The 10,694-nt window shown below is 38.4% G+C and overlaps 1 annotated feature.

The window, feature by feature from the left end:
* Window positions 316-516: a silencer, noted in NCBI's record as "peak5117 fragment used in MPRA reporter construct". NCBI's record gives its function as "represses an SCP1 promoter by STARR-seq MPRAs in K562 erythroleukemia cells {active_cell/tissue: K562}" and the evidence as "EXISTENCE:reporter gene assay evidence [ECO:0000049][PMID:32103011]".

The raw sequence follows: 10,694 nt of genomic DNA, 5'->3' as shown, positions 1-10,694 counted from the left end.
ACAAGTGAATTTATCTCTGCTGGGATCATATTCTCTGCTTTATTCATCATTTTGTTTCTTTATTATCCCATGATTATTTTTTATGCCCGCTGCCACATGCGTTATGGGAAAAACAAAATAAATGAACACCAAACAAAAACACACATTCACCGTCTCTTTATTGGACTAAGGTTGAGTTTCAGTTACTAGCTATCACTGACTATATTTCTAGGGATTCAATTCCTGTTCCTACTTGACGCTGCATAAGTTATCAACATTCCTAAACAAGAAATGAGCTCTACTTTTATGATGGCTCTCAAAAATATCAACTATAGCTCTCCGTATCTCTGTGTTTTTTCTTGCTTAGAAATGCTTAGCTTTTCTGAGACCTAGGATGTGCTGCTGCCTAGGTTTATGGCTCACCCTATCTGTCATCCAAAAAAAAAAAAAAAAAGACAATTCCAAGTTGAACATTACATCAGCAAAGTCCATTCTGCCAAGCAGTTTTCCAACTATAGATACTACAAGCTATATAGCAGTTAGAAAATAAAAACATAAAATAATAAATAATTGAAGGAAAAATGATAGATTTTAATGACTTCAGTTGTATTTAGTATGTGTTATATTTTAAATTTTAAAATGACTATGAAACGAGAAAGCGAAAGTGTCAAGAAGACAGTCAGACATATTTATTATGAAGTCAGTGGAGAGCTTGGGTCTAGGATAAGAACCAGTCATTTCAAAAATCACAAATAAATTATAGAAATAGATCATATCATTTATGAAGAGAAAATAAGGAGATGTCCTATTGAGAAAACTAATGTTTACCAGAATAACTGATGAGAAGATGAGGCTTATAAAGAACAGCCAAATCTTCGGAGGAAAACTAGAAATGTGCGGAGTACATGAACCAATGGAGGAAGTGTTTCCAAAGGAGGATATTGTTAATTTAGGATGCTGATGGCTGCGCAAATAAGAGAATAACAGCAAAAGGAGATAGTGTTGTAAAACATGGAAATAATTAGGGCCCTTTCAGACAAGGGGAGTGTTGGAGAAGAAGACAGTCTGGACTGGACTGAGGAATGAGAAAACAAAACAAACAGTGTAAAATCATAAACAAATTCTGTCATTAAAAGAACAGAGAAACAAGACAAAAATGAAAGAGTCGATAAAATCTATGATGGTTTTGGTTTTGTTTTCCTTTCTGTTTTATCATGGAAAATAATACAGCATGGTAGATTTGATACACAGACAAAAAGACATTGGTTTTTCTTTGTTTTTTATTGTTTTGAGACGGAGTTTCTCTCTTGTTGCCCAGGCTTGAGTGCAATGGCACGATCTCGGCTCACTGCAACCTCCGCCTCCTGGGTTCAAGTTCTTCTCCTGCCTCAGCCTCCTGAGTAGCTGGGATTTCAGGCGCCTGCCACCATGCCCAGCTAATTTTTTATTGTTAGTAGAGACGGGGTTTCACAATGTTGGTCAGGCTACTCTTGAACTCCTGACCTCAGGTGATCCTCCCACCTTGGCCCCCGCAAAGTGCTGCGATACAGGTGTGAGCCACTGCACCCGACTTGTTTTTTTGTTTTTGAGAAGGGTCTCGCTCTGTTGCCCAGGCTGGAGGGCAGTGGCATGATCTTGGGTGGCTGCAACCCTGACCTCCCAGGCTCATGTGATTCTCCCACCTCAGCCTCCCAAGGAGCTGGGACTACAGCTGCACGCCACCACGCCAGATTAGAAAGACATTTTTGTTGCAGGAGAGAATGCAGACTAAAGAAAGATGCTCTAAAATTGCTGAAGGGATTCACAAGATCTCAAATGGTGTGTCTTTGATTCGAGACCCACTGTCAAAGGAAAGATTCTAAAGAAGATAGGGATAAAACAAATATTACATTGCACTGTTTTTATGGTTTTTTGGAGAAAAGAATGGTTCCTCTGATGGTTTCTCCTCTTCCATTCCTCATCCCCATGAGAATATGATGAATTCGTCTTTAAGAGCATTATGAATGTGGGGCATATTTGTGGACATTATTAATCTGAAAACTATTGTTGTAACATATGCCTAACTAAAGAAATTTTAAACAATTTGTAATCTTACATTAGAAGCCTGAAGGTGGTTGATTCCAGAATTGGTGGATGCAGTGGTATTCTGGGGCCTCAAAGATCTCCTAATCTTGATCTCTTTCAGTTGCCATTGCCAGAATATGATTTCTACATATATGGTCACAAAATGCATGCAGTCATTGCAGGCATAACTTTCTCAAATTCTTTTTGCCTGATGAGCAGTTTCTCCTTACCAAGTGTCTTACTTAATAGAAGGAAAATATTTCCCTTAGTTTTTTTTCATTAGATATCACTGTACCTTTTGTCTGTAAGAATTTAACATTCCTCTGCTTAAACCAATTATGAACAAAGGGGAATGGAATTACTATACTTGAATTAGAACAGTTATTATTTATTCTGAGAATTTGGGGATAGATTTACTTTCCAGAGCACTGTGAGATCCCAATCTCAAAATGAAAATACTGTGAGTAAACTAGAAGAGAGGAATGGCTCTTAACTAGACAGCTAGTAAATAGTTCTACAAAAAGCAAAATGAAGACAAAATTAAAAGTATAAAAGCACATTTTATTAAGAATGTTTAGTTTTATTTCCAAGCAATTTTGTGCACATACTAGAGTTGCTATGAACACAAATTTAAAGGCAAACTAGTTTAGAGTTACATGTTTTTTTTTTAATTTTTATTTTTATAGATTTTAGTGGTACAAGTGCAATTTAGTTATGTGAATGTATTGCATAGTGGTGACGTCTGGGCTTTTGGTGCACCCATTAACCAAATAGTGTACTTTGTACCCATTATGTAATTTCTCATCCCTCACACCCCTCCCACCCTCTCACAGTCTCCAGTGACTGTTATCTCCATCATTATTTCCATCATTTGTACCTATTGTTTAGCTCACACTTGTAAGTGAAAACATATGGTATTTGGTTTCCTGTTTCTGAGCTATTTCACTAAACATCATGGCCTCAAGTTCTATCCATGTTGCTGCAAAAGACAGAATTTCATTTTGTATGGCTGCATAGTATTTCCTGGTGTATGTATATCAAATTTTCTTTATCCAATTATCCATTGATGGACATTAGGTTGATTTCATGACTTTCCTGTTGTGAATAGTGCTGCCATAAACATACCAGTGCAGGTGTCTTTTTTAAAGGTAATTATTACTTCTCTTTTGGGTAGATAACCAGTAATGGGATTGCTGGATAGTATGGTAATTCAATTTTTGTTTTTTTGAGAAATCTTCATACTGTTTTTCATAGAGGTTGTAATAATTTACATTCCCACCAACAATGTATGTGTGTACCTATTTACCCACATCATTGCCAAAATCTGTTGGTCCTTAACTTTTTAGTAGTTGCTGCTCTGATTGGTGTAAGATGGTATCTCATTGTGGTTTTAATTTCTCTGAAGATTAGTGATGTTGAGCATTTTTCCATATGTTTGCTAGCTGCTTGTATATCTTCTTAGAAACACATCTGTGTGTGTCTTCTGGCTTCTTTTTGTTGGGGTTATTTGTTTTAGAAACCTCTAGCTAAGATTTCTAAAACTGTGTTGAATAGGAGTAGTGAAAGGGGGCATTTTTGTCTGTTTCCAGGTCTTAGGGAAAATGCTTTCAGCTTTTTTTCACTCCGTATGATGTTGGCTCATATTTACTTTTCTAATTAGCCAAACTTGTAATCATACGGGCTTTACTAAGTATTTGTGCGTATGAGCCTATACATTAGAGTGCATTTTTCTGTTGAGGAGTTGTCTAATATTGCAACAATGTATTTAGCTACAGAATTCACAAAATATAATGCTCCTCCTCAGCCAGTTGGCATTGATGTAGTTTACATGGTCAATCTGATCCACCCTAAAAACCCTACATATTATCCAAATATTGATTTTCTTTGTTGTGCTGATCAACAAAAGGTATATTAGTGAAAATGGCTACAGAAATTTTTAGCCTAGTGTCAGTACAACAAATTACTAATGTGTAACAAATTGCGAGAAGTAAAAATGAAAATTATGCATCTTATACACATCTCTTTAATAATAATATTAATATATTAGGCACAAATTTTTTATATTCTGAATATTAATTCCCTAATAAACATAAAACATTAAACTCTTTGTTTATCAAGATTTTTGGTTACTTTTGAAAAATGGATGGGTTATTTTAAAAAGATTTCATAAGGAAAGTTAAATACAATCCTGTAATTCATACAGTTATAAATGATAACATGATTTTCAATTAAACTCATTTTTATGTGTTAAAAAGAAATAAATATGGAAAGTCAAAAGGAAGTGTTATAAGCATTCTATGTTTTCTTTTTCGTATTATTTTACTTTAAGTTCTGGGATACATGTGCAGAAGATGCAGATTTGTTATATAGGTATATGTGTGCCATGGTGGTTTGCTGCATTTGTTGACCTAAGTTCCTCTAAGTTCCCTCCCCTCACCCCACATCCCCCAACAGGCCCTGGTGTATGTTGTTCCCTTCCCTGTGTCCATGTGTTCTCATTGTTCAACTCTCACTTATGAGTGAGAACATGCGGTGTTTGGTTTTCTGTTCCTGTGTTACTTTGCTGAGGATGATGGGGTCCAGCTTCATCCATGTCCCTGCAAAGGACATGATCTCATTCCATTTTATGGCTGCATAGTATTTCATGGTGTATATGTGCCACATTTTCTTTATCCAGTCTGTCATTGATGGGCATTTGGGTTGGTTCCATTACTTTGCTATTGTAAGTAGTGCTGGAAAAAACATACATGTTCATGTGTCTTTATAGTAGAATGATTTATATTCCTTTGGGTATATATCCAGTAATGAGATTCCTGGGTCAAATGGTATTTCTAGTTCTAGATCCTTGAGGAATCTCCATACAGTCTTCGACAATGGTTGAACTAATTTACATTCCCAAAAACAGTGTAAAACTGTAAAAGGCTGGCCGGGTGCAGTGGCTCACGCCCGTAATCCCAGCACTTTGGGAGGCCGAGGTGGGTGGATCACGAGGTCAGGAGATCGAGACCATCCTGGCTAACACGGTGAAACCCCGTCTCTACTAAAAATACAAAAAATTAGCCGAGCCTGGTGGCAGGCGCCTATAGTCCCAGCTATTCAGGAGGCTGAGGCAGGAGAATGGCGTGAACCCGGGAGGCGGAGCTTGCAGTGAGCCGAGATCGCGCCCCTGCACTCCAGCCTGGGTGACAGAGCAAGACTCCGTCTCAGAAAAAAAAAAAAAAGGAAGTGTAAAAGGCTATTTTTCCACAGCCTCACCAGCATCTGTTGTTTCTTGACTTTTTAATGATTGTCATTCCGACTGGCATGAGATGGTGTCTCATCGTGGTTTTGATTTGCATTTCTCTGATAATCAGTGATGTTGAGCTTTTTTTATAGGTTTATTGGCCATGTAAATGTCTTCTTTTGAGAAGTGTCTGTTAACACCTTTTGCCCACTTTTTGATGGAGTTTTTTTTTTTCTTGTAAATTTGTTTAAGTTCCGTGTAAAGTCTGGATATTAGACTTTTGTTAGATGGGTAGATTGCAAAAATTTTCTCCCATTCTGTAGGTTGCCTGTTCACCCTGAGGCTAGTTTATTTTGCTGTGCAAAGCTCTTTAGTTTAATTAGATCTTATTTGTCAATTTTGGCTTTTGCTGAAATTGCGTTTGGCATTTTTGTCATGAAGTCTGCCCATCCCTTTGTCCTGAATGGCAATACCATTGTGGTTTGGGGCTTTACATTTAAGTCTTTAATCCATCTCGAGTTAATTTTTGTACAAGGTGTAAGGAAGGGGTCCAGTTTCAGTCTTCTGCATAGGGCTAGCCAGTTTTCCCAGCACCATTTACCAAATAGGAGATCCTTTCCCCATTGCTTATTTTTGTCAGGTTCATCGAAGATCAGGTGGTTGTAGATGTGTGGTATTATTTCTGAGGTCTCTGTTCTGCTCCATTGGTCTATATATCTGTTTTGGTACTACTACCATGCTGTTTTGGGTACTGTAGCCTTGTACTATAGTTTGAAGTCAGGTATCATGATGCCTCCAGCTTTGTTCTTTTTGCTTAGGATTGTGTTGTCTATTTGGGGTTTTCTTTGATTCCATAAGAAATTTATAGCAGTTTCTTCTAATTCTGTAAGAATGTCACTGGTAGTTTGATGGGAATAGCATTGAATCTATAAATTACTTTGGGCAGTATGGCCATTTTCATGATATTGATTCTTCCTATCCATGATGGTGGGATGTTTTTCCATTTGTTTCTGTCCTCTCTTATTTCCTTGAGCAATGGTTTGTAGTTCTCCTAGAAGAGGTCCTTCACATCCCTTGTTAGCTGTATTCTTAGATATTTTATTCTTTTTGTAGCAATTGTGAATGGGAGTTCATTCATGATTTGGCTCTCTGCTTGTCTATTGTTGGTGTAAAGGAATGCTTGTGATTTTTCCACATTAATTTTGTATCCTAAGACTTTGCTGAAGTTGCTTATCAGTTTAAGTCATTTGGGGGCTGAGATGACATGGTTTTCTAAACATAAAATCCTGTCATCTGCAAACAGAGACAATTTGACTTCCTCTCTTCCTATTTGAATATCTTTTATTTCTTTCTCTTGCCTGATTGCCCTGGCTAGAACTTTCAATATATGTTGAATAGGAGTGGTGAGAGAGGGCATCCTTGTCTTGTTCTGGTTTTCATAGGGAATGCTTCCAGCTTTTGCCCATTCAATATGATATTGGCTGTGGGTTTGTTATAAATAGCTCTTATTATTTTGAGATATGTTCCATCAATACCTAGTTTAGTGAGATGTTTTAACATCAAGGGATGTTGAATTTTATCAAAGGCCTCTTTTGCATCTATTGAGATAATCATGTGGTTTTTGTTATTGGTTCTGTTTATGTGATGGACTATGTTTATTCATTTGCATATGTTGAACCAGCCTTGCATGCTGGGAATGAAGCTGACGTGATCATGGTGGATAAGTCTTTTGATATGCTGCTGGATTTGGTTTGCCAGTATTTTATTGAGGATTTTCACATGAATGTTCATCAGGAATATTGGCCTGAAGTTTTCTTTTTTTGTTGTGTCTCTGCCCAGTTTTGGTGTCAGGATGATACTGGCTTCAAAAAACGAGTTAGGGAGGAGTCCCTCCTTTTCAATTATTTGGGATAGTTTCAGAAGAAATGGTACCAACTCCTCTTTGTACCTCTGGTAGAATTTGACTGTGAATCTCTCTGGTCCTGGGCTTTTCTTGGTTGGTAGGCTTTCAATTACTGCCTCAATTTCAGAACTTGTTATTTGTCTATTCGCAGATTTGGCTTCTTCCTGGTTTAGTCTTGGGAGGGTGTATGTGTCCAGGAATTTATCCATTTCTTCTAGATTTTCTAGTTTATTTGTGTAGACATGTTTAGAGTATTCTCTGATGGTAGTTTGTATTTCTGTGGGGTCAATGGTGATATCCCCTTTGTTTTTTTTTTTTACTGTGTCTATGTGATTCTTCTCTCTTTTCTTCTTTATTAGTCTAGCTAGTCATCTATCTATTTTGTTATTTTTTTTTTCAAAAAAAGACAGCTACTAGATTCATTGATTTTTTGGAGGGTTTTTCATTTGTCTATCTCCTTCAATTTTGATCTGATTTTAGTTATTTCTTTTCTTCTGCTAGCTTTTGGACTAGTTTGCTCTTGCCTTTCTAGCTCTTTTAATTGTAATGTTAGGGTGTCGATTGGAGATCTTTCTAGCTTTCTGATGTGGGGATTTGGTGCTACAAATTTCCCTCTTAATACTGCTTTAGCTGTGTCCCAGAGATTCTGGTATGTTGTTTCTTTCTTCTCATTAGTTTCAAAGAACTTGAATTCAGCCTTAATTTCATTATTTATCCAGGAGCCATTCAGTAGCAGGTTGTTCAATTTCCATGTAGTTGTGCGGTTTTGAGTAAGTTTCTTAATCCTGAGTTCTAATTTGATTTCACTGTGGTCTGAGAGACTGTTTGTTATAATTTCACTTCTTTTGCATTTGCTGTGGGGGTTTTACTTCCAATTATGTGGTCAATTTTAGAATAAGTGCCATGTGGCACTGAGAACAATGTGTATTCTTTTGATTTGGGGTGGAGGGTTCTATAGATTCTCTTACGTTCACTTGATCCAGGGCTGAGTTCAAGTCAAATATCCTTGTTAATTTTCTGTCTCATTGATCTGTCTAATATTGACAGTGGGTGTTAAAGTCTCCCACTATTATTTTGGGGGAGTGTAAGACTCTTTGTAGGTCTCTAAGAAATTGTTTTATGAATTTGGTGTATCTGTATTGGATGCATGTATATTTAGAATAGTTAGCTCTTCTTGTTGAATTGTTCCCTTTACTATTATGTAATGTCCTTCTTTGTTTATTTTTTTAAATCTTTGTTGGTTTAATGTCTGTTTTGTCAGAGACTAGGATTGCAACCCCTACTGTTTTTCCTTTCCATTTGCTTCATAAATTTTCCTCTATCTATTTATTTTGAACCTGTGTGTGTCTTTGCACATGAGATGGGTCTCCTGAATACAACACACTGATGGGTCTTAACACTTTATCCAATTTGCCAGTCTAAGTCTTTTAATTGAGGCATTTAGCCCATTTACATTTAAGGTTAGTATTGTTATTTGTGAATTTGATCCTGTCATCATGATGCTATCTGGTTATTTTGCACACTAGTTGATGGAGTTTCTTCATAGTGTCATTGGTCTTTATATTTTGGTGTGTTTTTGCAGTGGCTGGTACCATTTTTTTTCTTTCCGTATTTACTGCTTCTTTCAGGAGCTCTTGCAAGGAAGGACTGGTGATAACAAAATCCCTCAGCATTTGCTTATCTGTAAAGGCTTTTATTTTTCCTTCATTTATGAAGCTTAGTTTGGCTGGAGATGAAACTCTAGGTTGAAAAATTATTTTCTTTAAGAATGTTGATTATTGGTCCCCAATCTTTTCTTTTCTGGCTTGTAGAATTTCTGCTGAGAGGCCTTCTGTTAGTCTGATGGGCTTTCCTTTGTAGGTGACCTGGCCCTTCTCTCTGATCACCCTTAACATTTTTTTCTTCATTTCGACCTTGGAGAATCTGATGATTATTTGTCTTGTGGTTGATTTTCTCGTTGAGTACCTTAGTGGTGTTCTCTGTATTTCCTAAATTTACATGTTGACCTGTCTTGCTCAGTTGGGGAAGTTCTCACGGATAACATCTTGAAGTGTGTTTTCCATGTTGTTTCCATTCTCCCCGCCCCCTTCAGGTACTTCAATCAATCATAGGTTTGGTCTTTTTACAAAGTCCCATATTTCTTGAAGGCTTTGTTTGTTCCTTTTCATTATTTTTTCTCCAATCTTGCCTGCCTGCCTTATTTCAGCAAGGTGGTCTTCAAACTCTGATATCCCTTCTTCTGCTTGGTCAATTCAGCCATTGATACCTGTGTATGCTTCACGAAGTTCTTGTGCTGTGTTTTTCAGCTCCATCAAGTCATCTATTTTCCTCTCTAAACTGGTTATTCTAGTTTGCAGCTCCTCTAAATGGAGGTTCTTAGCTTCTTTGCATCGGGTTAGAACATACTCTTTAACTCAGCAGAGTTTTTTTATTACCCATCTTCTGAAGCCTACCTCTGCCAATTTATCCATCTAAATCTCCATTCCGTTCTGAGCCTTTGCTGGAGACACATTGTGATCATCGGAGGAGAAGCAACACTCTAGCCTTTTGGGTTTTCAGTGTTTTTTCGTTGATTCTTTCTCATCTTCATGAGTTTGTCTGGTTTCGATCTTTGAGGCTGCTGACCCTTGGATGGGGTTTTTGTGGGTACTTTTTGTTGTTGTTCACACTGTTATTGTTGCTTTCTGCTTGTTTTACTTTCAATGGTCAGGTCCTTCTTCTGTAAGGCTGCTGCAGTTTGCTGGGGGTTCACTTCAGGTCTTATTCATCTGGTTCCCTTCTGCACGTGGAGATGTAACTCAAGGAGGTTGGAGAACAGCAAAAATGGGTGATTGCTCATTCTTCAGGGATCTCTGACCTCGAAAGGCACCAATCTTATGCCAGTAGGATTGCTCCTGTAGGGGGTGTCTGACAATCCCTGTCGGAGGTGTGGGTGGCACAGGGAAAAGGACCTGTTTAACGAAGTGCTTTGACTGTCCCTTTGTGGAGAGGGTGTGCTTTGATAGAGGAAACCCAATCATTTAGGCTGCTCAGATTCCTCAGAACTTCCAGGAGAAAAGGCTAAGTGTGCTGGTCTGCAGAGACTGCAGCCACCCCTTCCCCTAGAGCCTCAAGCCCAGAGAGCTCCGGTTTCTGGTCCCTGAGCCTCTGGTTGGAGTTGTTGGAATTCCTACAGGGAATCTCCACCCTGCAAAGAAGGATGTATCAGAGTCAGGCCTGAAGAGGTGCTCTGGCTGCAGTCTGCCACAGATGGTGTATTGGGCTGTGGGCGGCACCTCTTGGGACCAAACCATCCAGCGTCCCTGGCTCCAGCAGGGGAAAAGCATGGCCGGGAGCTATAGAGATGGATGCTCCCGTTCCCCTGCTCAGGCAGCTTAGTATGGTAGGTAGATATGAGTTCCAGTGCTGGCTGCTGATCCTCCCCTAAGGAGCTCAAGTAGCTTAGATAGCAGGCATCAGCAGCTGTGGTGCTAGTTGCCTTTTCCCCCGGGAGCTTGGCAGGCTTAGCCAGACTCCAGCTGAGAG

This window comes from Homo sapiens, chromosome 4, assembly GCF_000001405.40.
Source record: "Homo sapiens chromosome 4, GRCh38.p14 Primary Assembly".
NCBI lineage: Eukaryota > Metazoa > Chordata > Mammalia > Primates > Hominidae > Homo > Homo sapiens.
This window is presented reverse-complemented; position numbering and strand designations above follow the sequence as displayed.